The sequence below is a fragment of the Homo sapiens genome, chromosome 2 (assembly GCF_000001405.40).
Source record: "Homo sapiens chromosome 2, GRCh38.p14 Primary Assembly".
NCBI classification, from domain to species: domain Eukaryota; kingdom Metazoa; phylum Chordata; class Mammalia; order Primates; family Hominidae; genus Homo; species Homo sapiens.
In genome coordinates, this window is record NC_000002.12 from 8,937,968 (window position 1) to 8,955,974 (window position 18,007).

At 40.4% G+C, this 18,007-nt stretch overlaps 1 protein-coding gene across 13 annotated transcripts in view; it reads right to left on the minus strand.

Moving 5' to 3' along the window:
* MBOAT2 (membrane bound glycerophospholipid O-acyltransferase 2) overlaps positions 1–18,007 on the minus strand; it is a 150,995-nt gene that overhangs the window by 85,278 nt on the left and 47,710 nt on the right. For 10 of the 13 annotated variants that reach the window (NR_135600.2, NR_135602.2, NR_135606.2 and 7 more), the window contains one exon: positions 5,220–5,297. The exons of the other annotated variants lie outside the window; for them this stretch is intronic. Coding sequence is in view for 3 of the 10 variants with exons in the window: in NM_138799.4 (NP_620154.2) it covers positions 5,220–5,297 (78 nt within the window). In the remaining 7 variants the exon portion in view is untranslated. The remainder of the gene's footprint in view (positions 1–5,219; positions 5,298–18,007) is intronic. 13 annotated transcript variants of the gene reach the window in all.

The window sequence follows — 18,007 nt, forward strand, 5'->3', positions numbered from 1 at the left end:
CCACCACGGTGCTGAATTTCTATGAGAGGGAAGTCCAAGCACACAGATTGCACCTACCCTGGGGCCTGGTTTAAATGGTACTGGTTGTGGCACACATCAAGACACATGTAGGGATTGTCTCCACAGCCAGATCATACATTTTTTTATAGGCAAGGCACACGTGTGTCTATTTTTAAATTGCATATACTAAATAAATGCTAGATAAAAGAGAAATTTGGCACTCTGTATCTCTGTTCCCTTAGTACATGAAACACATATGATGCATTTGTTTCTCATTTGAGAGGACAAGAGGATTGTTACACAAACAATATACTTTGGCCAAAGGGAAATGGCTGGGAAAGCATGCCTTGAGATGTAACAGTGTCACCCCACCCCCACCAAGCTCATATGGTTGGGCACACGCTCTCTCTCTAGCATACACACACATTACACACTCACACCTCACCACCCCCTATAGTCAGGCTACTTATTAAGGTGCCAGTGCTTCCACACCGTGTTTCATGCTGCCGTGTTTCATTCCACCACGTTTCATGCCGCCACATTTTATGCTGCCACGTTTCATGCCGCCACGTTTCATGCCGCCATCTCATGCCGCTGTGTCTCAGGCCACATTTCATGCCGTGTTTCATGCCACCGTGTTTCATGCTGCCACGTTTCATGCCACCGTCTCATGCCACTGTGTCTCATGCCACCACATTTCATGCCGTGTCTCATGCCACCATGTTTCATGCTGTCACGTTTCATGCTGCCATGTTTCATGCCACCGTTGTCTCATGCCGCCACATTTCATGCCGTGTTTCATGCCACCGTGTTTCATGCTGCCATGTTTCATGCCTCCACGCCTCTGCCTGTGCTGTCCACCCTGCAGTAAAGTCTGCCCTTGCTACCTCTTCAGCTACTTAAGAGTCCTCGTATCTAATTCACATACCATGCCCCCCAGGAATCTCTGCCCTGAGCTACTTGCTCCTAGCTGGGTTAGCTATTTTTGTAAACTCTCTCCCACCAGAGCTCTTAGCACACAATATTAAAATGTGTTCACATGCCTCCTGCCATACTGAACTCCTTGGAGGAGAAGCTGAGGACAGTGCCTAGGACACAGGAGAGGGGTGTGATAAATAAGACGAATGAATGAACCAATACCAACAGCCTGATTTCATGATTCATCACCCTTACTGGAATTCTGTCTACCACACAACAGTGAATGAATCTTTCTACTAAATGGAGACTGATATTGGTGCATCTCAGGAACTTAATCTCAACTCTGTCCCTTTGCACTCTGGCACAGCCACTTGTCCCCCACATCCATGTCCTGTGCCTGGGGAACACACTCCACAGCTGAACCCGATGGAGGTCCGAAGCCCCGACAAGGTGGCACTTGAGTAAATCCTGCTGCTCACTCATCCTGGCCTAGAGTCAGAGGGCCTGGGATTGCTGGAGCCAAAGAAAACGGCAGGACAGAGTCCGATGGCATCAACCGCAGTGGGAGCACGGGGGAAAGATGTCTTGTGACAGGGATGAAGGGAGGTTCTAGGACAAGGAGATCAGGGCTGAGGCATAGCTTCAGGACTTATGGTGAAGCAGGCAAGCTTATGCCAGGCTGCAGGGTCAGAGACACAGTCAGGCCAAAGACGTTCTCGGACCCTCCACACCACACAGGTCCTAGGAAACGGGCTTCCGTGGCTGCTTTCCAGAGCACACAATCCCTGGGGAGCAGGGAGGTCATCTGAGGTCAGAAAAGACACATGGCCAATCCTTTCCCTGGAGCAATCTTCAAGCACATACACACACAGAATAAACTCTGCAAACGGTTCTAAAACATCACATGATGTCAAAATCACTAGAAAGAAACTCACTTGAACTTTCTCATCCCATATCTCAAGAAAGATTCTCCTCTGTCTGCTGATATCTGTAATTCCTTTAACAGCAATAGTTTTTCGTTTCATAAAAAGTGATAAAGGGCAAATTACCTGTGACAGATCGTGCAAATAAATTTCAGTCAAATGAAATTAGATTACTTAAAACAGCATGCTCAGAACAGAACAGATACCAGTTCATACCCACTGTTTTCCAGCTACACGTCCTCAGTTACCTAACAACTCAGTCTCTGCTTGCTTACTTATACAATGAGGGGCCACCACCTCTCAAGCAGTAAAACTGCCAATGGGGCACACAATCAGCCCCCTCTTCCCTTCTACGTCTTAACGGGGGATAGAAAACAAGGTACTGGGAATATAAAGAGAAGGAACGGATATACTAAGGCATAAAAGGCAGAGAACAGGAAGAAAGTCAATGCTGCAATGACAGAACTTTTCCATTTTCTTTTTTTTCCTCTCTCTTTTTTTGAGATGGAGTCTCGCTCTGTTGCACAGGCTGGAGTGCAGTGGTGCGATCTTGGCTCACTGCAACCTCCGCCTCCCCGGTTCAAGCAATTCTCCTGCCTCAAGCTCCCGAGTAGCTGGGATTACAGGCATGCACCACCACGCCTGGCTAATTTTTTGTATTTTTAGTAGAGATGGGGTTTCCCCATGTTGGCCAGGCTGGTCTCAAACTCCTGGCTTCAAGTGATCCACCTGCCTTGGCCTCCCTAAGAGCTGGGATTACAGGCGTGAGCCACTGTGCCTGGCCTAGATAACATTTTAAAGGTAAGATATGAATCAGAATAATAAAACATACCATAGAGGCATTAAAGGGAATTACAAAAATAAAGTGTGTATACATGTGTGTGTGTGTATATATATATTTGAATTTACACGTGGGTCAATCAAAGCAAGTACAATAACTACATTATGAATACCTCATAAAGAGCATAAAGCAAAAAAAATCATAAAACAGAGAGAGGCAAGAATTTAAAAACTGTTCAGTACACAGATAAATTCAAATCTTTCATTTTAAAGACTTAAACTCTGGCTAGTCAAAGAAATATATTAAAACGTAATGTAAGAAATATATACCATGTAAAACTAGACTGAAAGAAACAAACAGATTGTATTCGACATAAACAATAACTTTGGACAACACATAAAAATGCTCTAAGTCCCATCTAGTGTATTTGGTCTGACCCATTAAACATTTTTAATTATTATAAAGGCCTAAGCAGAAAAAAAAATGAGCATATTCAGATAATAAGAAAAAAAGTGAAAAAGTAAAGTCATAGAAAAATATATATGGGTATAAGCTGAATAGAAGGGAGCTAAAAAAGAGATTAAAATATGTACTTTTCAAATTAATTATCCACCTGCTATTTACTGCCAATCCTAGCAATTTACTCACATGGCAAACCTTACTTACCTGCCCTAATCTTCTACATCAATAGTGTCAAATTACAACACCAAGATTCTATCCTAAATATCAGTAGCATATAAGCAAGTAGCACTATCTCCCTGAATACTTACTGTAAAAGAGTAACATTACTAATTTTATACAACTGTATGTCTCTAAAGCAGCACTATCCAATATCATTTTCTGCAATGACAGAAATGTTCTCTATCTGCACTGTCCAATGTAGCCACTAGCCACATGTGGCTAGTGAGCACTTGAAATGTGGCTAGTGTACAGGCGTGGTGGTGGGAGCCTGTAATCCCAGCTACTCCGGAGGCTGAGGCAGGAGAATCGCTTAAACCCGGGAGGCAGAGGTTGCAGTGAGCTGCACTTCACCCTAGGCAACAGAGTGAGACTCCGTCTCAAAGGAAAAAAAAAAAAAAGAAATGTGGCTAGTGTAACCAAGGAACTGAATTCTAAGTTTTAATTAATTTAAACTTACACAGTCACATGTGCACTAGTGGCTGTCATACTCAGCAGTACAGGTCTAAAGTATTACAAAGTTAACTTCACCGACTGCAACTGCCTTTCAGAAAAAGAAACAATTTCCCATTGCTAAACATGAATTTACTAACCTTCCAACTGAAAAGCATATTACTTTTGCTTTGGCCAAAATGTATGTAAGTCCCCTATTTTCAGTAATCTAATCTAATCTAAACCTGATTAATATCTTTTGCATCAGATATTAATTGTAGCATCACTTTGAACCCATCAGAGGTACAAGTTTTTTAAAAAATAGGGTCATAATCCTATAAAAATTGCTTCATCTGAAACACCATCTAAATATCCTTTCTCTTCTTATAAAAATAAAAACATCAGGAACTTGTAAGGGTTGGTTTACAGAGGAAAAAGAAAAGTCAGTGCAGGCAATGTCAATGGAAATGGAGGAGACAGTACACATTACAACAGAGGTAGCGACTGACAGTGCCAAATACGGAAAATGCAAAATAGAATGAGACTTAGAAAAAAACTAATAAAAGCCACAGGTCTGATTCTTTATACAAAGTTCTTGCAGACATATGTGATTCAGAATTCAGAAATATGGTACCTAGGTCATACATCATAGCTCAGACATTGCAGAACACCCAGCAGGATCTGCTAATAGACTCTGCCCCTGGGTTTTCAATCAAGTACATTTTATCCATCTGTATTCCCAAATTTCCATCTCTAGCCCAGCTACCCAGCTCCTACTACATGTCTTAGTTACCAATCTCCTCTTATATGTCTTACAGATATCTTAAAGTCATCATTCACTTACACAGCAAAACTTCATTGAGTGTTTACTATATACCAAACACGTTTAGGGGCTGAATATATACCCACTTGAAATGCCTATGCCACCTTCTACATGCTCCCCACTTTCAGGACTCCCCACCTCAGAAGACAGTGCTTCCATCTACTCTACTCCTCAAGCTGGAAACACGGAAGTCATCCTTGACACCTTATTTCCTACCGGTCCTTCTAACTCTCTCTCCAGTCTACTCAGTTCACTGCATCTCTCCACTGCTATCACCTACAGACTAAGCCAGTGGTTCTTCACAGCAGGCAATTTCGCTTCTCCAAGAGACATGTGAAAATATCTGGAAACATTTATGGTCGTCACAGCTCAAGGGGTGCTACTGGCATCTAGGTGGTAAAAGCCAGGAATGCTGCCTAACATCCTAGAAGGCACAGGTTAGTACTGAATGTCAATGAATCATCCATCCCAAAATGTCAACGGTGCTTTAAGTAAAAAGAAGAATGATGCATACCAATGATTTTATTTTTGTATTTATGACAATTCTTCTTTAAAAAATTATCACAATTCATAATTACTTTTAATGTAATAAATAAAATTCTATTTTGATGCAGTTCTATTCAAGTGAAATATATATTTTCATGTGAACAAAGTGAATACTTACTTGTGCATGTTCTCCACTCCTATGATGATCATGATACAGTAGGAAATTCCACTTTGTACAAGAAAGTGTAAGGCATACCTATAAAAAGTAAGAGCACTATTAGAAGAGGGATGCCAAGTCACAAACATCAAGCTGAAGTGAATTAAGCTAAAAAATACTTATGCATAACACAGTATTCCCAGAAAAAAAAATAAGGAATGAAACTTCAGGAGCTTAAAATCCTGTGGACACCCTAAAGAGAGAGTCCCATACCACAGGCTCCAGAAGAGCTGGGGGGAAAAAACAAGGCCTAAAGCCATGCCCAGTGCCCAGCACTCCATGTCTCCTGGCTGCATGGAAGCCGTGTGGGATTACATGGCTCAGGATTATAGCTTTCTTCATAACTCAAGGCACAATTATTTTAAAAAGTAATTAATATGAATTTCAGGATCGTCCTGACAGAACATCGGTTGTTTCCCCAAACTAGTTTCTCCAGTACCAACTTTGTACTCTGCCTTTACCTTTTTAACAATATGACTGACAAAACAACAAAAAGTGCTAAATATTAGAATTTACAAAAGAAAAGCGTATACTCTTCTCAATACATGATGGCTCAAGTCAAATAAACTTCCTTATATAAATCAAATTCATTAATTTTAATTTGCTGTAACGTATCTACAAACATCCTGGCTAACATGACAGTCTTTTCTTTTTTTGAGGTGGAGTCTCACACTGTTGCCTGGGCTGGAGTACAGTGGCGCGATCTCAGCTCACTGCAACCTCTGCCTCCCAGGTTCAAGTGATTCTCCTGCCTCAGCCTCCCGAGTAGCTGGGATTACAGGTGCCCACCACCACACCCAGCTAATTTTTTGTATTTTTGGTAAAGACAGGGTTTCACTATGTTGGCCAGGCTGGTCTTGAACTCCTGACCTCGTGATCTGCCCACCTCAGCCTCCCAAAGTACTGGGACTACGGGCATGAGCCACCGTGGCCAGCCCATGACATGGTATTTTCTAATATTCCAATATTCTTGAAATCCACCATTAAATTAGATAATTTACTCATTTCACAAAATTCAGGCAAAACATGATTAGGATGTCTGTGACTAAAATCAATCAAAACTATCCCTAATTTATGCATGTCCGTGCATGCACACACACTCTCTCCACTTTCTTTCCCCTTTGGGGGAATGAACAATTTAAAATAAAATTTTCGAATCATCAGGCACAATTTAAAGTACTTTATTTTTTTTCTTGAACCTCTAAATCTAGTTTAAACTACTACTAAGGGTGTTAACCTATGATTCAAATAACTTTTAATCTTTATGGAATAACAGGCACCTCCAATGTGGAAAAGTTATGCAAAATTTTGAACACATTTTTCCATAGAAATATTATAAACCAGTAATAGTCTCCAAGGCAGGCCTGTAGGAGAAACTTATTTGACCCACTGTACAGAATAGGTCAGTCTATCTGTTTGACTGACACACACACACACACACACACACACACACACACACGAAAATAATGTTGGCCTTTTTTTAATACCATTATAATCAGAGGAAGCAGAAAAACCTAAATGAGTATAAAAGGAAATAGAAGAAAGCTTTTTTAAAAAACAATTAAAACACACACTTTTCAAATTTATGATCTACCTCTTATGTGTTGCCAACACTAGCAATTCACTGGCTGACTCCTGACTTCGTGCGAAAGGTGACAAGGTCTGCTAGAACACCCTTAAGGGCTTCTTAAACTGCGAGGAGAACTCAATACAGGTACTTATCTTAAACACGGAAAACACATTTTTGAGGACTCTTGGGGGAAAAAAGTGTTCCTTTGCTACGTTAAATTTCTTGAAATATGAGGGATATATCATAACTTTAGAAGCTACAAGTCTTACTTCTCAAACAGTGCTATGGTGCCTCATATCACCTTAAGGTGCCCCCTCCTCTCCTGACATCGCCATTCAGGTGATATGTTTGGCCATCTTTGGAGAGCAGTATAATACTTGGGCAGCCTCCTGCTGTGTAAACCTTCGTTGCTGCAACAATCCAAGTTCAGCAGTAGAAAGTGAATCTGCATTTACCTCTATCTCACTGACCTCCACAACAAGCATTCAGTTGCTTTTCCACTCAATGAATGCACTGGTGATAATCTTCCTAATTTTCTGTACTGAGCTACTCTGCTTGTTCTCATTGGTAAAGTGACCATAATAAACACAGTGGCCACTTGAGATTTTTCAGGATTAAGAGATAATACATTAAAAGCGTTGATGGGGTTATCTAGCACGTAGTAAGCACTCAACTATTAAGTATTATTAGTAAAGTAAAAATTAAAGATAGATATGTTAAAAGTCTATTATCATTCAACCCTCGTGATTTCAGAACTGAGGAAACAAAGATCATCTATCTAGTCAGTATATTCCAACTAACATCAAAACTCACGTTGTTTCGGGGCAATTTATCCACTGGCTGATTCTCTAAGGAATGCAGCCGGGTAGAATGGAACCCCATGGGCTGTGGATCATCATCTTTTAAGCTACCTAAAAAGTGCTTTGAAAATGAAACAATGCTTTGTCACAAAACGTTAGTTTGTTTTCAGATATCACATTTTAACTCTTCTGAATTTCAAGTCACACTAAAGGCATAAGGTTTATTTTTAGAAAAAAAAAAGAGCACAGGTTTAAAAAAAGGTTGAAAACACCTCTTCAATTGTTCCACTAATCTTTACTGAATGTCTACCTTCTGAAAGGCACTGTACTGAACACTAGAAATACAAGTCAATGAGACCGTTTATGTCCTCACAGAGCTCCCAGTCTAGAGAGAAAGACAATAATAAATAGATTACTTCAATACTGTACGATATATGCTAAAAAAGAGATTAGATAAACACAAAAATTTCCAATCTGCATCACTCTGGATGATGGTAATAACAGATGAATGACTCTGAGTAACTTCCCATGTTCGTAATGACTAGCTATCACGCCATGTTTTCTGTAGTTTTACAGATTTATTTCTCACAGTAATCATTCGTTCTATGTCACAGATGAGGAAAGTGAAGCTCAGAGTGGCTAAATAACATGTCCAAAGTCATACAGCCACCAGACCAAGGCACCCACACTGGAATACAGGTTTGCCTGACTTCAGAGTTTAAGCTCTATTCCATTACCCTATAGTGTTATTATCAAGGACATTTAAATAAATAATTAAAGTCTAAATTAATTCTCACTTAAAAGGAACTTGCAGATGATTGTTTTAAAAGAAAAAAGCTAAGACCAAAGAGAAGCAGGTAAACGATCAGTTACAGGCATGACTTGTTTTACTGCACTTTGCCTTACCGTGCTTTGCAGATACTGAGATTTTTCCAACTAGAAGGTTTGTGGCAACCCTGCATCGTGCCAGCCTCTTGGCACCATTTTTCCAATAGCACGTGCTGAGACTTCATGTCTCTCTGGCGTATTTTGGTAATTCTCAACAATATTTCAAACTTTTTCAATATTATTTTACCTGTTATAGTGATCTGTGATCAGCGATCTTTGATATTACTACTGTAATCGTTTGGGGGCACCACAAACTGTGCCCACATAAGAACTTAATTGATAAATGTTAGGTGTGTTCTGACTGCTCCACTGACCGGCAGTCTCTGTCTTCCTCTGTCTCTCTCCCTCTCCTGAGGCTTCCCCATTCCGGAGAGACAACAATTATTGAAATTAGGCCAATTAATTAACCTACAATGGCCTCTAAGTGTTCAAGTGAAAGGAAAAGTTGTATGTCTCTCACGTTAAATCAAAAACTAAAAATGATTAAGCTTAGTGACGATGGTATGTCAAAAGCCAAGACAGGCTGAAAGCTAAGCCTCTTGCACCAGTTAGTCATGCCGTAAATACAAAGAAAAGGTTATGGAAGGAAACTGACAGTGCTACTCCACTGAACACACAAATGGTAAGAAAGCAAAACAGCATTGCTGCTAATACAGAGAAAGTTTAATTGTCTGGACAGAAGCTCAAACCAGCCAAACATTCCTTAAGCCAAAGCCTAGTCCAGATCAAGACCCTAACTCTCTTCAATTCTAGTAGGGTGGAGAGAGATGAAGCTGGAGAAGAAAATTTTGAAGCTAGCAGACACTGGCTCATGATGTTTAAGGAAAGAAGTCATCTCCAGAAATAAAAATCCAAGGTGAAGCAGCAAGTGCTGAGGTTATCTAGATGCTGCAGCAAGTTACCCAGAAGATCTAACTAAGATCACTGATGAAGGCGGCTACACTAAGCAAAAGATTTTCAGTGTAGATCTAATAGCCTACTACTGGAAGAAGATGCCATAGAGAACTTTCATAGCTAGAGAGGAGAAGTCAACACCTGATTTCAAAGCTTCAAAGGACAGGCTAATGCAGCTGGTGACTTTAAGTTGAAGCCAATGTTCATTTACCATTCCAAAAATGCTGGAGTCCTTAAGAATTACGCTAAATCGATTCTGCCTGTACTCTGTTAATGGAAAAACAAAGTCTGAACCACAGCAGCTCTGCAGCATTGTTTACTGAATATTATAAGCCCCTTGTCGAGATCCATTGCTCAGAAAAAAAAGATTCCTTTCAAAATATTCCTGCATATTGACAATGTACCTGATTATCCAAGAGCTCTGACAGAGGTGGACAAGGAGATTAATGTTGTTTCCACACCTGCTAACACAATACCCATTATGCAGCCTGCAGATCAGGGAGCAATTCTGACTTTCAAGTCTTGTTATTTAAGAAATACATTTCGTAGGGCTATAGCTGCCATAGATAGTGATTCCTCTGACGGATCTAGGCAAACTAAATAGAAAACTTTCTGGAAAGGATTCACCATTCTAGATGCCACTAAATACATCTGTGATTCATGGAAGGAGGTCAAAATATAAACATTAGCAGCAGTTTGGAAGAGGTTGATTCCAACCCTCATGGATGACATTGAGGGGTTCAAGACTTCAGTGGAGGAAATAACTCCAGATGTGGTGGAAAATAGCAAGAAAACTAGAAGTGAAGCCTAAAGATGTGACTGATTACTGCAATCTCATGATAAAACTTCTCAACAGATGAGTAATTGCTTCTTATGGATGAGCAAAGAAAGTGATTCCTTCAGATGGAGTCTACTCCTGGTAAAGATACTGTGAACACTGTTGAAATAACAACAACAAAAAATTTTTTTTCCAACTTCTATTTTATACTCAGGGGATACATATGCAGTACCTAGGTATATTCCATAATGATGAGGTTTAGGGTATGAATGATCCCCTCACCCAGGTACTGAGCATAGTACCCAACAGTTAGTTTTTCAACTGTTGCTCCCCTCCTTATCTCCCACCTCTAGTAGTCCCCAGTGACCACTGCTGCCATCTTTATGTCCATGAGTACCCAAATGTTTAGCTCCCACTTATAAGTGAGACCATGCAATATTTGGTTTTCTGCTGCTATGTTAATTTGCATAGGATAATGGCCTCCAGCTCCATCCATGTTGCTGCAAAGGGCATGATTTCCTTCTTTTTACAGCTGTGTGGTATTCCATGGTGTATATGTACCACATTTTCTTCATCCAGTCCAGCACTGATGAGCATCTAGGTTGATTCCATGTCTTTGCTATTGTGAACAGTGCTGCGATTAACAGGGAAATGCATGTGTCTTTTTGGTAGAATAATTTGTTTTCCTTGGGGTATATACCCAGTAATGGGATTGCTGGGTCAAACGGTAGTTGTTTCAAGTTCTTTAAGAAATCTGCAAACTGCTTTCCACAATGGCCGAACTAACTTACTTTCCCAACGTTGTATGAAGCATTCCCTTTTCTCCATAGCCTTGCCAATATCCGTTGTGTTTTGACTTTTTAATAATAACCATTCTGACTGGTATGAGATGGTATCTCATTGTGGTTTTGATTTGCATTTCTCTGATTAGTAATGTGCAGTAATTTTTTCATGTTTGTTGAACACTTGTATGTCTTCTTTTGAAAAGTGTCTTTTCATGCCTTTTGCCCATTTTTAATGGGATTATTTGCTTTTTGCCTGTCCAACTGTTTAAGTTCCTTATAGATGCTGGATATTAAACCTTTGTCAAATCCACAGTTAGCAAATATTTTCTCCCATTCTGTAGGTGGTCTGTTTACTCTTGACAGTTTCTTTTGCTGTGCAGAAGCTTTTTGGTTCTAATTAGGTTCCACTTGTCAATTTTTGTTTTTGTTGCAATTGCTTTTGAGGACTTAGTCATAAATCCTTTCCCAAGGTCAATGCCCAGATAAAATGATGTTCCTTGCTTTTTTTTTTTTCAGGGTTCTTACAGTTTGAGGTCTTACATTTAAATCTCTAATCCATCTTGAGTTAATTTTTGTACATGGTGAAAGGTAGGGGTCCAGTTTCATTCTTCTGCATATGGCTAGCCAATTATACCAGCACCATTTATTGACTAGGGAGTCCTTTCCCCACTCTTTATTTTTGTCAATTTTGTTGACAATTAGATGGCTGTAGGTGTGTGGCTTTATTTTGCAGTCTTCTATTCTGTTCCATTGGTTTGTGTCTGTTTTGTACCAGTATCATGCTGTTTTGGTTACTGCATCCTTATAGTATAGTTTTAAGTCATGTAGTATGATGCCTCCAGCTTTGTTCATTTTGCTTAAGATTGCTTTGGCTATTTGGGCTCTTTTTTGGTTCCATATGAATTTTAGTATAGTTTTTTCCAATTCTGTAAAAAATGACATTGGCAGTTTGATAGAAATTGCTTTGGGCAGTATGGCCATTTTAGTGGCATTGACTCTTCCAATCCATAAGCTGAGAGGTTTTTCCATTTGTTGTGTCATCTATGATTTCTTTTAGCAGTGTTTTGAAGCTCTCCTTGTAAAGATCTTTCGCCTCCCTAGTTAGATGTATTCCTAGGTATTTTTTTTTCTGTGTGGCTATTGCAAATGAGATTACATTCTTGATTTGGCTCTCAGCTTGAACATTATTACTATACAGAAATGCTGCTGATTTCTATACATCGATCTTGTAGCCTGAAATCTTGCTACAATCATTTATCAGTTCTAACAGCCTTCTGGAGGAGTCTTTAGGGTTTTCTAAGTATAGAATCATATCATCAGCAAAGACCGAGAGTTTGACTTCTTCTTTTCCTATTTGGATGCCTTTTATTTCTTTCTCTTGCTTAATTGCTGTGGCTAGCACTTCCAGAACTATGTTGAACATGAGTGGTGAGAGTGGGCATCCTTCTCTTGTTCCTGTTCTCAAGGAAATGCTTCCAGTTTGTTTTTTGTTTGTTTGTTTGTTTGAGACACAGTCTCGCTCTGTCACTCAGGCTGGAGTGCAGTGGCGCGATCTCAGCTCACTGCAAGCTCCGCCTCCCGGGTTCATGCCATTCTCCTGCCTCAGTCACCCAAGCAGCTGGTACTACAGGCGCCTGCCACCATGCCTGGCTAATTTTTTGTATTTTTAGTAGAGACGGGGTTTCACCGTGTTAGCCAGGATGGTCTCGATCTTCTGACCTCATGATCCACCCGTCTCGGCCTCCCAAAGTGCTGGGATTACAGGCATGAGCCACTGCACCCAGTCAAATGCTTCCAGTTTTTGCCCATTCAGTATGATATTGGCTGTGGGCTTATCATTGATGGCTCTTGGTATTTTGAGGTATGTTCCTTTGATGCCTACTTTCCTAAGAGTTTTTTTTATCATGACAGGATGTTGGATTTTATTGAAAGCTTTTCTCACATCTATTGAGATGATCATATAGTTTTCATTTTTAATTCTATTTATGTGGTGAACCATTGATTTGTATATGTTGAACCATCCTTGCATCTGAGGAATAAAGCCTACTTCATCATGGTGAATTAACTTTTTGATGTGCTGTTGAGTTTGGCTTGCTATGGTATTTTTGCATCTATGTTCGTCAGGGATATTGGCCTGTAGTTTTCTTTCTTTGTTGTGTCTGCCAGGTTTTGGTATCAGAGTGATGCTGGCTTCACAGAATGAGTTAATAAGGGGTCCCTTCTCCTCAATTTTTTTGTAATACTTTCAGTAGAATACTGGTACCAGCTTTTTTTTTTTTTTTGAGACAGAGTCTCACTCTGTCAGCCAGGCTGGAGTACAGTGGCATGGTCTGGGCTCACTGCAATCTCTGTCTCCTGAGCTCAAGCAATTCTCCTGCCTCAGCCTCCCGAGTAGCTGGGATTACAGACATGTGTCACCACACCTGGCTAATTTTTGTGTTTTTAGTAGAGATGGGGTCTTGCCATGTTGGCCAGGCTGGTCTTGAACTCCTGACCTCAGGTAATATACCCACCTTGGCCTCCCAATGTGCTGGGATTACAAGTGTGAGCCACCGTGCCCTGCCACTAGCTCTTCTTAGCACATCTAATAGAAATCAGCTGTGAATCTATCTGGTCAAGGGCTTTTTTTGTGGTTGGTAGGTTTTTCATTACAGGTTCGATTTTAGAACTCAATATTGGTCTGTTTGGTGTTTCAATTTCTTCCTGATTCAATCTTAAGAGACTGTGTATTTCCAGGAATTTATCCATTTCCTCTAGATTTTCTAGTTTGTGTGCACAGAGATGTTTATAATAGTCTCTGAGGATCTTTTTGTATTTCTGTGGGATCAGTTGTAATGTCACCTTTGTCAATTCTGATTGTGCTTATTTGGATTTTCTCTCTTTGTTAATCTAGCTAGCAATCTATTGGTCCTCTTTATCCTTTTAAAGAACAAACTTTTGGTTTTATTGAGTCTTTGGTTGGATTTTTGGGTCTCAATTTCATTCAGTTCAGCTCTAATTTTAGTTATTTCTTTTCTTCTGCTAGCTTTGAGGTTAGTTTGTTCTCGTTTTTCTAGTTCCTCTAGGTGTGATGTTAGATCATTAATTTGAGATCTAACTTTTTGAGGTGGGTGTTTAACACTGTATACTTTCCTCTTAACACGCTTTTGCTGCATCCCAGAGATTTTGGTATATTGTGTCTCTGTTTTCATTTATTTCAAAGAATTTTTATGCTTCTGCTTTGATTTCATTGTTTATCCGAAGCAATTCAGGAGCAAATTGTTTAATTTCCATGTAATTGTGTGGTTTTGAGAGATCTTCTTGGTATTGATTTCCATTTTTATTCAATTGTGGTCCAAGAGTATAGATAGTATGATTTCAGTTTTTCTGAATGTATTGAGACTTGCTTTATGCCTGAGCATGTGGTTGATCTTGAAGTACATTCCATGTGCAGATGAGAAAAATGTATATTCTGTGGCTGATGGGTGGAGTATTCTGTAGATGTTTATTAGGTCCACCTAGTCAAGTGATGACTATAAGTACAGAATTAATTTATTAGTTTTCTGCCTCATTGATCTGTCTAATGCTGTCAGTGGGAGTTAAAGTTCCCCACTATTAATGTGTGGCTAAGTCTTTTCATAGGTCTAGAAGTACCTGTCTTATCAATCTAAGTGCTCCAATGTTGCACATGTACACACTAGGATAGTTAAATCTTCTTGAGTTGAACCCTTGAGAGGGAGGATTTTATGTAATTTTATCCAGGTAGAATTGTATGTAATTTTATGATTTTATGCATGTAGGTTTCATTATGTAACGCCCTTTTTTTTTTTTTTTTACTGTTGCCGGTTTTATCATATATAAGAATAGCAAGCAACCTCTGCTTTTGTTTTTTCCATTTGCATGGTAGATCTTTCTCCAACCCTTTACTTTGAGCCTGTGGATGTCATTATGTGTGAGATGGGGCTCTTGAAAACCGCAGAAGAATGGGTCTTTTGTTTTTATTCCACTTGCCACTCTGCCTTTTAAGTGGAGCATGTAGGTCATTTATATTCAAAGTTAATATTGATATGTGAGGTTTTCATTCTATCATGACATTGTTACCTGGTTGCTTTGTAGTTTCTAATGTGTGGCTGCTTTACAGGGTCTGTGGGCTATATATTTATGTTGTTTTTTGTGGTAGCAGGTATTGTTCTTTGTTTCTGTGTTAGAACTCCCTTAAGGATCTAAGGCTGGTCTGATGGTAACAAATTCCCTTAGTGCTTGCTTGTCTAGAAAAGAGTCTAGTTCTCCTTCACTTAAGAAGTTTAGTTTGGTGGGTTATGAAATTCTTGGTTGGAATTTCTTTAAGAATGCTGAAAATAGCTCTCCAATCTGTCCTGGCTTGTAAGGTTAGCCTGATGGGGTTCCCTTTGTATATAACTTGCCCTTTTTCTTGAGCTGCCTTTAAGATTTTTTTCTTTAGCATTGACCTTGGACAGTCTGGTGACTATATGCCTTGCTGATAATCATTTTGTATACTATCTTGCAGATGTTTTCTGGATTTCTTATATATGGATGGCTACTTCTAGCAGGATTAGGGAAGCTTTCCTGAATAATTCCCTCAAATACATTTTCCAGGTTGTTTGCTTTTTCTCCTTCTCTCTCAGGAATGCTAATAATTTGTACATTTGGTTGCTTTACATAATCCCATATTTCCTGAAGATTTTGTTCATTTATTAAAATTCTTTTTTATTTTTGTCTGATTGGGTTAGTTCCAAAGACTCGTCTTCAAGCTCTGAAATTCTTTTGGTCCAGTCTACTGATAAAGCTTTCAATTGTATTTTAAAATTCCTTGAGTGAGTTTTTCAATTCCAAAAGCTCTGACTGATTTCTTTTACAGATGTTTATCTCTTCCTTCATTTCCTGGATTGCCTTAGAAGTTTCTTTGTGTTGATTTTCAACTTTGTCTTGGATCTCACTGAGCTTCCTTACAATCCATGATTTGATTCTTTATCTGTCATTTCTGAGTTTCCATTCTGGTTAGGGTCCATTGCTGGAGATCTAGTGCAATCATTTGGCAGTGTCACTACATGATGCCAAAATTCTTGCACTGGTTCTAGAGATGCTGGCACTTCTAATTTTTTAATTATTTTCATGCAGGTAAGATTTTTTTCTTTTTCTTTCCTTCCCTATAATGTTATTTCTTCTTTCCTTTTTCCTTTTTCTCCCTTCTTAATGAGTGTGACTGTAGAGAATGCTAGGTAGGGCTTTTGGGCTTTGCTTCTATAGCCCTATACACTTCTTTTGGCAGGTTTTATATCAGGCTGTGGAGTTCAACCTACAAGCCCACAGATGGTGCTTATAGGTGAAAGCCAGCTGCAGCCAACATAGCTGCGTATATACTTGATCCTTGTTTACTGGCAGAAGCTCTCTATTGCCTCAGGCAATAAGCTGGTTTGTGGAGTATATAGTGGTCTGAGCTCCCTGCTCAGCCCTGGGGGGCAGGGGCCACAAAGAGCAGGGCCAAACAGAGCAGGTTGGCCTACAGATCCCCCAGTGGCAGGCACAGACACTAGCGCCAAGGGAGAATCCAGAGGGCAGCCACCGAGAATGCAGGATTGTGCCTAGGCATGCAGCTGGGAAACCATCTGGGCTCCATGTTCTCTACACAGGAATGGGAGATGGCTTAAACTTCTAATCTAGAAGAGTTGCCATTCCAGATGCTTGGAAATCTGCCTGGGCATGGAACAGACAGGATACCCTTGAACCACAGTCTATGTCCAGGAAGACTGGGGTGGCTCAGGCTGCTGAACCAGACAAGCAGATGCTCTGAATGCCTGTAGATTTGCCTGGGTGTGGAGCAGAGAGAGCCTCACTTCACCATGATCTGTGTCCAGGAGGGGTGGGGTGGCTCAGTCTGCTGGTCCAGGCAAACAGGTGCTCCAAATGTCTGGATTTCTGCCTGGGAGTGGAGCAGAGGCGGCCCTGTCATACCACAGTATCAGTAGAGCAGAGTGGGGCACCCAACAATGACACAGGTGGATCAGTTCCAGGTCGCCAAGCTGGCCTTGGCTGCAAGTGTTGCTGCCCAGGAGAAAGTGCAACTTAGCAGCTCTCCTCCTGCCCCAGGCTTGCAATGGAGGAAAGCACAATTCTAGCCCTACAGCTGAGGTGCTTTCCACAATTCTGGCTATGGAGGCCCCTACCCCACTCCAGAGCAGGTGCTCTAATCTCTGGCCTAAGACTGAAATGCCTACACTGCCATGCTGCTGAGTCACCAAGGAATGGCTGGCTTCATACGTGCCTGGATTAAAAATGGTGTCCTGTTCTCCATCCCAGGTCTGGGAGAATGTCTGCAGCTTTTCACGATGTCTGTCCTTCACAGCGTCTCCAACCCTCTCCCCAAGTTGGCTCCAGGGCTTGGGAGAAATAAAGTGCTCTCCCTCAGACTGGGTTGCTCAGATCCCCAGTGGAAAGGTGAGTCATAGAGAAGGTCTCCCTGCCTCTCTCACATACTGGGGCTTCACTCACTTTTATCAACTGGATGCTATCACGGGGGCTGTTTGCCAGCATTCTCTTCAGGATCTGGGGTGTCCTTCACAATTCTGGTGAATTCCTGTTTTCCTTCTTGAATTAAAGCTCAGAGAGTTGATCTTTATGTACTATCGTGCTATTTCCAAGTGGCTGAGGAACACTGAAAGTCTCTAATCAGCCATCTTGGACTGTAATTTTAATTCAGAATTTAGAATATTACATAAACTTAGTTGATAAAGCAGCAGCAGGGTTTGACTCCAATTTTGAAAGTTCTACTGTGGGTAAAAGGCTGTCAAACAGCATCACATGCTACAGAGAAATCTTTTGTGAAAAGAAGAGTCAATCACTATGGTAAACTTCATTGTTGCCTTATTTTTAGAATTTGCCACAGCAACCCAAACCTTCAGCAGACAACACTCTGATAAGTGAGCAGCCATCAACATCAAAGCAAGACACTCTACCAACAAAGAGATTACAACCCACTGAAGGCCCAGATGATCCTTAGTATTTTTTTACCAATAAAAAATTTTTCAATTAAGGTA